Source organism: Homo sapiens, chromosome 1 (genome assembly GCF_000001405.40).
Source record: "Homo sapiens chromosome 1, GRCh38.p14 Primary Assembly".
Taxonomy (NCBI): Eukaryota; Metazoa; Chordata; class Mammalia; order Primates; family Hominidae; genus Homo; species Homo sapiens.
This window is the reverse complement of record NC_000001.11, coordinates 74,261,528-74,275,641: the sequence shown is the minus strand read 5'-3', so window position 1 is coordinate 74,275,641 and position 14,114 is coordinate 74,261,528. Positions and strand designations below refer to the sequence as shown.

The 14,114-nt window shown below is 33.8% G+C and overlaps 2 protein-coding genes across 3 annotated transcripts in view; both read right to left on the bottom strand.

Moving 5' to 3' along the window:
- FPGT-TNNI3K (FPGT-TNNI3K readthrough) overlaps nt 1–14,114 on the bottom strand; it is a 346,187-nt gene that overhangs the window by 268,787 nt on the left and 63,286 nt on the right. For both annotated transcript variants that reach the window (NM_001112808.3, NM_001199327.2), the window contains exon 7: nt 3,934–4,044. In NM_001112808.3, coding sequence (NP_001106279.3) covers nt 3,934–4,044 — 111 coding nt within the window. The remainder of the gene's footprint in view (nt 1–3,933; nt 4,045–14,114) is intronic.
- TNNI3K (TNNI3 interacting kinase) overlaps nt 1–14,114 on the bottom strand; it is a 309,042-nt gene that overhangs the window by 268,787 nt on the left and 26,141 nt on the right. The window contains exon 5 of the mRNA NM_015978.3: nt 3,934–4,044. Coding sequence (NP_057062.1) covers nt 3,934–4,044 — 111 coding nt within the window. The remainder of the gene's footprint in view (nt 1–3,933; nt 4,045–14,114) is intronic.

Sequence of the window (14,114 nt, the reverse complement as noted above, 5' to 3'; positions counted from 1 at the left end):
CATTCTTTCCTTCCTATTTTTGGGCCAGATCCCTCTTATTTTTGCTGTCTAGTTCTCATCATTCTTTAGACTAGTTCAATTTTAAATCCCCTCTCATAACTCCTTCCCTAACTCTTTGAGTCCACATTAATCTCTGATATGCTTTGGCTCTGTGTTCCCACCCAAATATCATCTTGAATTGTACTCCCATAATCCCCATGTGTTGTGGGAGGGACAAAGTGGGAGATAATTGAATCATAGGGGTGGTTTCCCCCATACTGTTCTCGTGGCAGTGAATAAGTCTCAGGAAATCTGGTGGTTTGATCAGGGGTTTCTGCTTTTTCGTCTCATTTATTCTTTCTTTGCCTGCTGCCATCCATGTAAGACGTGACTTGCTTCTCCTTGCCTTCTGCCATGACTGTGAGCCTTCTCCAGCCATGTGGAACTGTAAGTCCAGTTAAATCTCGTTCTTTTGTAAATTGCCCAGTCTCGGGTATGTCTTTATAAGCAGTGTGAAAATGGACTAATACAATCTCTATCCTCACTGAACTCTTAACTCTTCTATTTTGTGTTCTCTGACATTTTCTCTACATTATTATGTTTCTAATAATAGATAATCCCTAACTTACGATGGTTCAGCTTACAATTTTTTGACTTTACAATGGTGTGAAAGTGATACATATGAGTGGAAACTATACTTTGAGTACCCATACGACCATTCTGCTTTTTCATTTTTAGTACAGTATTCAATAAATTACATAAGATATTCAGCATTTTCTTACAAAAGAGGTATTCTGTTAGATGATTTTGCCCAGCTGTAGAATAGTGTAAGAGTTCTGAGCACATTTAATGTCAGCTAGGCTAAGCTATGATGTTCAGTAGGCTAGGTGTGTTAAATGCACTTTCCATTATGATATTTGCCACTCATGATAGATTTACTCAGATATAACCCCATCATAAGTTGAGGAACACCTGTATTCCCAATTATCAAACCTACTCTCATCCATCCTACTCCTTACTTATAACTATATTGCTGTTTTACATTTGAATTGCTTATATATTTTTTCTGCATATTTATTTTGTGTGCCCAGTTGCATTACAGAATATTTAGGGGAAAAATCTATGTCTTATTTTGTTGTATCATTCCTATATTTCTATATTCTAACCATTTATAGACAAAGTAGGGGCTGAAAAAATGTTAAATGAATTCACACGTATGGGTAAAGATATATTGACAGTGACTATTTACTACAATTATAGTTGACCCTTGAACAACACAGGTTTGAACTATGTAAGTTCACATATACATGGATTTTCTTTCATCTCTGCCTCCCCTGAGACAGCAAAACCTACCCCTCCTCTTCCTCCTCCTCCTTTGCCTATTCAATGTGAAGGCAATGGTGATGAAGACCTTTATGATTATCCACTTCCACTTAATAAATAGTAAATATATTTTCTAATCCTTATGATTTTCTTTATAACATTTTCTTTTCACTAGCTTACTTTAAGAATATAGTATATAATACATGTAACATTAAAAATACATGATAATGGACTGTTTATATTATCAATAAGGCTTCCAATCAGCAGTAGGCTATAAATAATTAAGTTTTAGGGTAGTCAAAATGTATATATAGATTTTCAACTGTACAGGGGATCAGTGCTCCTAACTCCCACATTGGTCAAAAGTCAATGGTAATAGTTTTCAAAGAAATACTCCAACAAAAATATTCATTTTGAATATAATTATTTTAGATAGTTTTGGATACCCTTTTCTTTATTATTTGATCAATAATTTAATTAGTCCCCCATATAAGAAGAGAATAAAGGCTAATGTATCTATACTTGCTTTTTGCAGTGTTAGCTATTGACTATAAAAGTCATCAAATATCAGCTAATGAGGAAAATTAGAAAACCCATGAAGAATTGCAAGGCAAGAGTAGAGATCTATTTGGAATACTTTGGTGAAGTTTGCCCTAAGTCTGGTAAAATCAATATAATACCTTCTTCCATATTATGATTTAGAAAGAAAGAAAACAGAGCTATTTGAATAGGAGATGAAGAAACTAAGCTCTTAACCACTTTGCTTTAGAAGCCATTGTAATGCTATCATCAAAACAACATTAGGAAAAAAAGGATTTTGTTTTGAAGACATAGTCTGTAATTTTCCTGGCATTAAGAGGTTGATCATGTTTTACTAGAAGTTAGTGTCTAACTCATAAATTATTTCACCCAGATCCCTTAATGTTTACCACTCATTTACTTTATCACTGGCCTCAGTTTCTTTCTTTCTTTTTTGGAAAACATTTATATTTAGGTGAATCTAATGGAATTTCCCCTTTCCTCATAAGTAACACAAACTCACCTATATTTACAATGAATCTCACTAAAAGGATTTATTTTCCAGGAAATAAGGTGATATGGAAAGGAGTGGAAATGTCAACATGAAGGAAACTATTTTGCTCTCAACGAGATATTTTAATTTGTATTGAATGTAAGAGCCCTTTGAAGTGACACTGTTAAGGGAGATGGATCACCTCTGTTTTACAGGCTTCAAGTATAATTTTATATGCAGCTCTATTTGTTCACAGTTTGTGTGCGTATATGTGTGTGTATTAGTGAAGAAGGTATAATTGAATTGCAACATGACTAAAAGGGGGAACATAACTATTTAATAATAAGGATGTCAGACTTCTCATCTTTTACATTGTTGAGCTATTGGTGTTTCCACAATTGATAGAGTGTGACAATCATGGGATTTTGAGTAAAATGATCAGGATTCCAAACATGGCTCTTTTCCTCAATAGCTTTGTAATTTGTCAAGGCAATTACTATATAAGAGCCTTAGTTTTATATCTATCAAATGGCAGCGGCAATAAAAACTATTCGATGAGGATTTGTGAAGTTAGCCAAATCATGCAAATGGAAGTCCTTCCCATAATAGGATATATAAAATTAATACTTTAAATTTAAGACAAGATCCAGAGTCCTTCCTATGACCTTTAAAACACTGTGTGATTTGGCTTGGAACCATTCATCACCAGACCTTGTCTTCATCATTCTTCCTCCGCTCACTCCACTCTAACAACTCTGGCTCAATCATGTCCCTCAAACACACCCAGCCTTTTTAGGCCTCAGGGTCCTTGCAAGTGCCATTCCTTAAGCTTGAAATTCTTTTCTCTCCTTTTACATGGCTGACATTCTCAATATATTTAAATCTCTTTTCCTATATGACCTCCTTTCAGAGATATTTACTGTACAGCTTATTTTAAATAGTGCCCCCTTCTCTCTCGTTGTTTTCATTTTACCTCACTTTATTATTTTTATGGTACTCACTACTAATTAAAATTATGTAATATTTTCTTGTCTTTATTGTCTATTTTATTCTTTACAGCTAAACTCTATAAAATGAAAATTTTGCCTGACTTTCTTGCTACTGTCATCCCAGCATCTAAAACAGTATCCGGTGCATAATAGGTGATGAATAAATATTCATTCAAGTAATACATAAGTAGATGAATGAGTGAATGATTTTTCATTTTGTCCTTACTCTGCATTAAGCAAACTACAAAGTGATTTATATAAATTATCTAACTTAATCATTATAATAGGCTTACTAATATTCCTATTTTATAAGTGAAGAAAAGAGGGAGGTCATGAGATTCAGTAACTTCCCCAAGGTTAAAATAGCAAGTTGTGGAAACTGAGCTGCTATAAAGCCTCTGTATATCTAGCTACCTTTATGTTAATTGATGATTAAATACACTGTTAGAAAATTGACTGAATTGACTATCCAAAGCTCATTTATACAGCTAAATTTTACCCCAATGTGTTCAGTAGCTAAAAAATAAACCAACTTGTAAAGTCTCAAAGACAGTATTTCAAAACAGTTAAGAACAACAACCGAAAAGGTAAATAACCTTTGTTTTCACAGGTGCCAAAGGCATGACTTACCTCTAGGTGGCCAGCTATTGTAGCAATATGGAGGGCAGTGAGGCCACCGTATCCAACCTGCTGTATATCAGCTCCACTGTGAAGCAGAGAAGTGATCAATTCTGCATTATCCTGTAAGGAAACATATCTTTAGTGTTACTTTTCTGCTAATAACAGGTTCAAAAGCTGTGCAACAGGATGTATTGATTTTCTGCCTATCAGCCAGTTCAGGTGCTCAAAGGAAACTTAAGTGTGATTTCTAGCATAAGAGCACATTAGATACCAGAGAATAGTTCTCAGATGGTGGAAAGTAGGACCAAATGACAGAGGTGTTCAGTTCTAATCAATCCTCTACCGCTTGAACAAGAAAGACAGAAAGGACATTACCTATGGTGAGACTCTTGCAACCACAAACTCAGTTTTACAGGTAGGTTACTCCAATGAATATGCTTTTCCAGCAACTAGAATTAACTCCCAGTGAGGTCAGGAATTTACAGTAACAGTTTAAAGGTTTATTTTTTTTCTTTTAGAGATGAGGATGAAATATGCCATTTAAGAAGAGAGTATGAACCAAGTACTGAACAAAGTACATGCAGCCCAGTAGGCTGTTTCATGATAGTTCAGTAATTTCTTCTTACTAATAAATAATATCATTAAATCTAGGCACAATTAATTCATAATATCTTTCTTAACTTGACTCGTTTTACCAGTGAATATGTTAGAACTATTATTTGAGCCTCCAAATTTGAAAAATTTGTGCAACAATTAAAGTAATTCTTACTTTTTTATAATATTATTTGTATTGTATTTCTGCCTTTGGAGATACATGAAATAATATTTATAATATTAATAGCAATTAACAGTCATTGAATTTTTATTTTGAAATTCAATATGTAATTTTGTTTTGTATTTAATCTTTGTTATACAAAGATTTCCATGTTTAAGCCTCAAAGTAGGAATTTAAACCACAACTTCTATAATATTTGGTCTATCAACACACCAAGTAGCAATAAAGTCAAGTCATAAGATAGGCCAGTGCATTTATGACTTACATACATATAACATCAAATACTGTTTGTTAAGAAAATTTTACCATTAAAAGGCAAAGTTTGATTTCTTAATGCTGTCACACCTGCATAAAGGCCTACAAGAAATTCTAAAAAATGAAAAAACTTTGGTAAAGAGCTACAAATAGTAAAATTAATGTTATAGTCTCCAAATCTTCCCGTTTTTCTACCTGCTCTCCCAAGAAAGTGAAATAAATATTGCATCTTCAACCTTTCTTCTTTCATTGGCTCTATATGCTTGAACTATAAACTTATGTTTTCTCCGTTTTAAAAAAAAAGTTTTGTTTTTTTTTTCCCACTGAAGCTAAGCTGATTTTATCTCTATTATTCCCTTCATTTTCCAGCCTTCTGAAAAAAGATATTGAATCTGTTGACAGTTGCAGTCTCATTTCTTTAGCAATCTTTAGGTAGGTATACCCAAGTTCCACATAAATCTCAAATGAGTTCACCATACTTATTCTACATTGAATTTTGCTTTTCTCACACTACTCCTCACTAAGGCAGATTTATTTCCCACATCTCTTTTCATCGTATTACCAGGTGAAGTCACCATGACTGTTTCTTCCACCTGAGGCATTAAGGACCTCACCAGTCTCCCGAAATCACTTCTTCAATTTCTAAAGGTAAACTATCAAATCCAGTGTCCTTGTAGTCATTCTCTCTATGATTAGATCATCTCTTTCTTCTCAAAATTCTTATCTCCTTTGCTTTCCTAAAACTATACATTCCTTGATTCCTTTTTGTTGCCTATTCTTTGTTTCTGACTGTCTTCTAAAAGTGTATGATTTGGAAATGTAGCCCTAAGCTGCTTTCCCATTCCTAAATGCCACTTTGGTAATTATTATACAATCTGATAAATGCATCTTTGGTCCTGACTTCTCTGCTAAGTCTGAGTCCCATATATTTTGCCTATCAATGGCATCTCAAATGCAAAATTTGAAATTGTTCTTATAATTATCGTTTATAATTTTCCCAGGCTGACTTGTCATCTAACATTCCTTATTTATATGAATGGCACTTTTTTATTCCAAGGGACCTAGAGTCCCTTCAGCTCAGTTTCAGAATTCTACTGGTTTTAACTGACTTATACTTCTCACATTTCTTCTTATTTCTAGCATCATCCTCTGTATTACGCAGCTTCCTAACTAGTCTCCTCAACTAATACTTTTTCCCATTGCAGTCCATCCTGCATACAATTAGATACATTTTCCTACACCCAGTTTTGATTATGCATTTCTCTTTTCAATATACCCTTTATATGCTAAACAAATATTGATTGAGCATATCTGGTGTTTCAAACTCTTTTCTGAGCAGTGGTGACACTGCAGTGAGTAAAGATAGTGAAATCGCTGCTCTCACAGAGCTTATATTTTACTATGTTTACGTGAATGGAGAGACAAAAAGTAAACAAATAAGAAATTGCTATACAGTAGCTTAAAGTACCAACTGATATGAGATAAAAATAGACAAATGATTAGATGGCTATTTTAAACTGGTTAATCAGGGAAAGCTTCACTGCAGAGGTGACTTTTGAGATAAATGGTAGATGGCAAAAAGTCACAATTTCAAGGATAAGTATTAAAATATGAAACATAGCTAGTGCAAAAGTCGAAAGACAGATATAAGCTTGTTGTGTTTGAAGACCAGCAATAAGGCCAATGTTGAGTAAATGATTAAACAAAGGAAAAGAAATTTTCAAGATGAGGTCAAAGATGTATAATCTTGCAGGGCCTTCTAGGCCATGGTATGGGGTATTTGGATTTTTTTCCAAGTGCAATAAGTAGTAGGGAAATTAATGATAGAGAGATAGGGAAGAACCAGGAAGAAGCAGATTTTGAGGCAGAAGTAAAATGTTTCGTTTTCACATGTTAAATTTGAGCTGCATATAAGGCAGGGTTAAGATGCAGGTCATAGAATTAGCCTCCCTAATTAGAATTTCAGCTCTCACAATGACTATGTGCACTGGAGCAGTTCTGTCACTCCTTTTTGCTAATTTCCTTGATTATATAAAAAAAGAGTAATTGTAACCACCTTAAAATTGTTCTGATAATACCTATAGTACCTTCCAAATAAAATATTGATTTGATTTAATCACTTAGCTTCTCTTTCTCCTTTCCCTTTACCTCTTCCTCCTAACTCCACTCCCTCTGCTTCACGAGTTAGGCACTGCAACAAACAAAGGAATAAAACATGGAAAAAGGCTGTACCAGTACTGGAAGCGAGAAAACGTCTACTAGTTTAGCCATGGATAGGCTGCCAGAAACTGAGAATTCCTCCTCCAGAGAAAACAGTTCACAGGAGTTAACTCTCACTTTACCAATAATCTTGGTGAGGGCTAAAGGCATGATTAGTCTTGAGATAAATAGGAAAAACATCGCCTTAAAACATTTTCCCTGCAGATGGTCAGAAATTTCAATGCAGAGTAGTAGGGAAGGTCTTTTTAAGCATAAAGTTATATTTTAAATAGAAAATATGATAGATTTGAGCAAATTAAAGTGTTAAAAACACAATAAGGCAAGTGACGAGTTGGAGAAATATTCACAACATATAAAACTGACAAATTGTTTACATATTTAATACATAAATAACTTGTATAAATCAGTAGAAAGATGGATACTCTTTTATTCAACAAATATTTATTAATGAATGTCTATTTTATGACAAGCACTGTACTAGGCTAAATTAAAATAAATTTTATGTAAATCACAGAGCATGTGAAACATTTATCTATTAGGCAGTTTTAGTAAACACACATTTATCCTTTCTTCAAGTATCTTTGTTTTTTCTCCTTATTCAGTCAATATTTGTGGAATTTTTTTAAAGTATATTAGGATTCCTTCAGAATGGGCAAATGGTAAGGTCAAAAGTTAAGAGTAATAATTTATCCTTTCATACCTTGGTTGGATTTCTCAAGATTGACCTCTAATTGATCTAAATACTTTTTAACTGAATACTGCCAAAATAAAACTTTTATCTTATGCAGCTATGCTAAAGATAATAAACATAAAGCAGTAATTGCTGCATATAAATTGCTTACTATGAGCCAACTTCCATGAAAAATGTTCTATCTATATCCTCTCATTTAAGCTTCACAATTTACCTATGAGAGAAAATAATTATTAACCCTATTTTATAGCCGATGTCACTCAGGCTCAAAGAATTTAAAGTGCTAACTGAACCTTACTTTGTAAGTGTTGAAGGTAGATGCAAACCCAGGTCTGTTGGACTCCAACGTCTGTACTTCACTTCTGACTTTCCATAGTGGTTTTCCTGATCGAGTCTCAAGGAAAAACTTGAGAGGACATACTTTTGCTGTATTTAACTGATAAGCCTCTTACTCTACTGGAATATTTTGTCCTAATGGAATAATTTTAAGAGTCAGCAATATGGTACACACCTCCTGGAAAAAATTTTCCTGTAAAATGCAAATATTAGGCAAATTTTGAATACTCTAAGTTTGATCTCATTTATTGCTTGCAGTTTACCATATATAAGAAATGTCTAATGGCAATGTTTTTAAAAGAAAGTCTCTTAAGACTTGTTTAGAAAAGAGTCTTGTGGAAACTGACAAGTTTCCTTTATGCACTCTCTAGCCAAATTTAAAGCATTATTATTCAATGTGACACACAGAGGCACCCTATAAGTGTGAGATAAATAAGCTCTTTGTAATGTATTTGTGTGTGTCATATTTATTATTTTTAAGCAGAAGAAAATCCATGTGTGGAAGAATGAGGCTTAGACAAAAAAGCGCTCCAGCTATATCCTTGAGAAATAGAATTTGAGGTAGAATAGATCTCCCAAAATGTATGTAAATGGATAAAAATATTTTGTAATGGTAGTAACTGCAACTCTGTACTAGCCATAAAACTCTAAAACAATGCTTACTTAATATCCTGCCTTATTGTTAGCTCTGTGATTATTGCTATGGATAAAGCCAAGATAAGCAACCACTATATCACAGAGCTCAAATCCTCTACTACCATATTACATCCATTTTTAAAATTTATTTATTAAACAAAAAAATTTCAACTCTATTTCAGTATAGAAAAGAAACTGATGTATAAAAATGTACTTTCTTCTGATTATGGACAAAATATACCTTCTGGTGGTTTTAAAACATGGTGAGCATTCATCTATACTCAACCCACAGATATTTGCTATCTATGCCCCTTCCCCTTGAACCTGGGTGGATTGTGATCAATAGCGTGGAGCAGAGTGTTTCTTTTCTAAGGCTAGGACATAGAAGACCACACAGCTTCCTTTCTGTTTGCTGAAAAACACACTCTGGGAGCCCTGATCTATAACGTAACAAATCTGACTAACCTGTGTCAGCCATGGTATAAGAAAATGCAGGCCACATGGAGAAGGTACATCGCACATGAAGGCTCTCCAATCAACTGTTCTAGCTAAGTCCAGCCTTACACTTATTCCAGTCAGTGTGTTAAGCCTCCAGAGAATTCCAAGCTACCAGCTGATGAATAAACCCATTCATTCACATTTTCTCAGCTGAGGCTCTAAATATTGTGGGACAGAATCAAGCCATCCACACGGCATCCTGTCTGAATTTTTGAACTAAGAATCCATGAGAATAATAAAATAGTTGCATTAGAAGACCAAGTTTGGGATAGTTTGTTATGCCTCAACAGACAACCAGAATACCTCAGAGAAGAAAATGTAAAAAACAAAGAAAATGAATAAATAATTCAATAACCCATAGTACTACCATATAATCACTATTATTTATGTGTGTATTTTCCCTTCCATTCTTTGTCCTATGTACATATGTTTGTGCAACCAGATGGAGCACAAGCTATCCCAGCAAAGCAAACTCGTGTTTCAATATTGATGGGCACTTCCTACATTTGCGACATGTTTCTTAACCTTTTGAGCTGTCCAGTTTTTGTCTGTAAAATGAAGATACAATTGTATCATTCTCATAGCATTGTTGTGAGGATTACATCAGATAATGCTGTAATTCATTTAGTACAATGCTTGACACATAATAATTGTTATTATGTACACTATTGATCTAATTCTACATATAGGTAATTTCCTTTTTTCATATATTATAGAATCATGAGCATTTCCTCATGTGTGGCAGAAATAGATATGCCACTGAGACCTCCCTTTATGAAGAGTGTGGCAGGATGGTAGTTCACTGGCAGCTTTCTCAGTTATTTCAGGACCCACTGCAGCATTAGAGCTGTGTTCAGTCTCTTCTCAGGGTGGACCTTACTCCCAGTCAATGACTGAGTAAGGTGGTGGTAAAAGAAGGGCCTCGACATTTCTAGCCCGTGTGGCACTCCTTTCATAGGCAATTTTTCCTCTGGAGCTCCTCAATGGGCTGGCGGAGATTTTAGCAGCTCTGTATTGGGATCTGATGGCACCTCATAACCAATTCTGTTTCATTCCTTTTCCTTTCACAGGTGTCACCTTTAAATAAACCTCTTGTACTCCTACATTCTTTTCAGAGAATGCTTTTTAGAGAACCCAATTGGCATTCCATAGCATAAAATGTGTTTCTTTAATGTAACTTTAAACTGAGGCTGAACTGGGATTTGAAATCAGGTCTTCTGATTTTTAATATTATGCTTTTCTTAATACATCATGTTATTTCTCCCTCCCCACCAATTACCCTTCAGCTGCTAATAATTTGTCTTTCATGTATCAGCCCTGACCTTATATTCCTCATTTTTATAAAAAGAAATATAATACCTACCTTACTTACCTTACAAGATTGTAATAAAGATCAAATGAAATAATGTATGTGCAAATGCTTATAAACTCAAGATACTTACAGGTGTAAGCTTATATTCATATTAAATGTATCACCCCCAAGATTGGCCTACTTCTATGAGAATATTCACCTTATGATTTAGTCCACTCTGTCCCAAGAGATGTTTAGTCATAAAATACTTCCATTTCTTTATCTGCAGGGTTACAGAGTTGGGCTAAATTTTTTTCTGTAATACCTTATTCACCTCTAATATTCCCTGAAGTGTCATACCAAACTCCAAGAAGGAGCTGAACTTTGATTGGAAAGAAAACTAAGTTTCTGGATATAAAATAGGGACATATAAATAAAAGTTTTTAAAATGTTTCTCTAAGTATATTTTTTCTTCACCAGCATAGCAATTGTTAAAGTTTATTTGTTTTTATAAAGAAAAAGGTTTTTTTAGAAAAGTAATTTTGGAGGCTTTGAAGAATATTATTAAGTTTTCCTTTAGGACAAGGAACTATTCAGGGCTTCAGTATGAAATGCACTTAGTTCTAGGCATTAAAATTTAATGGACTAGAGCTGCCTCGTGCATCATAGACATCCCCAGTGAAAGTATCCATTAATCAGTATGAAAATAACTGCTCAACTCACAAAGGTTCATACCTATATGTCTCCTGTTGAAACAATTCTGGATTTATTTTCACAAAAGATATCAGTTTTTAAGAGTTTCAGTGTGGTGGAAATACTTGACTTTGCTTGAAATTTTGGAAAAAAAAAAAGAAAAAAAGAGAAGTAACATACTCTTAGATTATCTGTACCCTTGCTTTGGACCTATTTTTTCCCCTCACCTCTGCCATCCCTCCTTCTTCTATTTTCTCATTTTCCATAATGTATTTATTCCTGCAGGCTGCCTCCAATTGGCCTTTGAACATCCTTAAATCATCTCTCATTTAATAATATAGAGATGATTTAACAGGAAGAGGATAATAAGAATCTCTACCTATTGCAGTGGGGCGGGGGAAGTAAATACATGCTACTTGAAAAGGCATAATGAATATTCTAATTTTTTAAATTTGTTTTTAGCTATAACATAATATCTATTTTAAAGTTTAAAAATAACATTTAAATAAACTCTGAACTTTTATGTTTATTTAAGGAGCAAGAGTTTAAAAAGATAGGACAATGCTGTTTCAGAAACCTTCCTGATCTGGCCATTCCTCAAATATTGCCCAATCTTATACTTTTTGGAAGAGAAATTAATGTTTATTGCCTCCATTTCCCTAACTGTATTTATTTTCAACCCATTTTTATATCCTCTTCTCCCCAAAATTTACTAAAATATCCCTTAAAGAGGTATCTGACAATTTCCTAATTTCCTATTCTAATGGCCCAAATAGGACCATTTTGCCCACTGTCAACCTCATCCTACCTCCTTTGAAACACTTTTCTTCCCCCCAGTTACCAGAGAACTATAACTTCATTCTTCACTTATAAAACATCAATTTATTAAGTATATATATCAAGCGTTGTTCTAAGCACTCAGAATAAGATGATAAGCAACTTGGATCTGGTCTCTGCCTTGATGATGCTCATAATTACTATCAGAGATTACAAACAGGCTACAAGAGGAATGGAAATATATATGGCTTAGCCTGTTGAGTATTTATGACTAAAAATCTGCATTAATGGCCAGCATTTAAATATTAGGAAACTTCACATAATTTATGATTCTCTGAAATTTTGGGAAATAATGGGTCTACATTTTTACATGACAATGATTAGCTGAAGCTGAAGAGTGACCATTCCCTTTACATGGGGCATATGTTTTCTAAGTTACCACAGTCTTTGCCACTCTCTCATATCTCAAAAATATTCAGTCTTGAGTTTTACTTCCCATTTATCATTGTCTGTCTTTCATTTATTTATGTCATCCTTAAAATATGTGAGATTGTGACCGCTAATATAGAGGAAGATATAAAGATTTAACTAAGTAATAATATACAGTAGCATACACAGCATAGTAAGTACTAGGAGCTAAGAGAGTACAATGAAGCAATACCTAACCCAAACTTGGGAGGGATCAGGGAAGGTTTTCCAGGAAATACTACTGTCTGGTGTAAGAATTGAAGCATAAATTGCAAATTACCATCTTCAGCTAGGATCCTATTAACTTTTTATTGAGAATGTGTTCATTTAGAAAGAGATTATGAAATATTTCATTACTAAAGGGAAATCTGCATATAAACAAGCTATCTTAATGATTGCTGTAATTTATGAGTAAAAATTTTCTCTAGTTTCTTAAGTGAAAATCTACTATTAAAGTGTTTAAAAGTCATCACTAACTGGAGAATTTAGTTAAATATGCAAAAAGTGGGATTCTTTTTTTTTTGAGTTTTTTTTTTCTTCAAATTATTTCTTATTACTATCTTGTCAAATTCCCATTTAGGGAAAATGCAGTCTTTAATCAGGAAACTTTATTTGTTCAAATATAAAGGTAATTAAGATTTAAAAAATCCATTTAAGTTAATGAATATTGAAATCTGTCCTCTAAATCAGTTGTTCTCAACTGGGAGTGATTTTTGCCTCTCAGGGGTGATATCTGGAGATATTATTGGTACTCACAACTGGGCATGAGGGAAGTGGCTGCTCTCATCTAGAGAACAGAGGACAGGGATGCTGCTAAACATTTTTATAACACAAAGGACAGCCTCCCACAGCAAAGAATTATCCAATCCAAATTGTCAGTAGTGCCAAGGCTGTTGAACCTTGGTCTAAATCGACAGCAGTTAGAAACTATGAAACACTTACTTTGGGTCTTTAGTTTCAGGATAGTTGAAAATTTCAACTTTGCAATCAAATATATGTGCTAAGGAGGAAAAAAAAAGTCAGGATAAAAGATATTAATACAATGATTCAGGCTACGAATCGCCACTGATAGAAAAGTCAGAGTTTTCTGATGGGCACAGTTACGTAGCAAAAAATACCTAGGTCTGGTAAGCCAGGCAACATAGGTTTAATTCGATTTTTCCCCCATTCATGTCCTTCCCTTTTGTAATACATATATAAAATGAGTTGTTTCTGAATGATAGGAATTAAATCTTGCAAGAAATATATAGGATGGGATAAATGACCATTACCATTCAATATCTGCTTTTATCATACGAAATGTTAAAAATAAGTTAATGAATCAAAATGCTACTTCTTTCTCACTAAAGAAATTTCACTAAGTGGCTTGTCTGTGTATTGAATGAGAGTTACATGTAAGGCTAAATTAGATGGTCTAATAGGATTTTGTTCATTAGCTTTCTCAATTAAGATCTTCTAAACTATATCAGAGGTCTCAATTTTTTCCCCAAAGTCTTGTGTTTCATTTTAGGAATACAATTTAGATACCACCTAAAGAAGTATGCCCTATA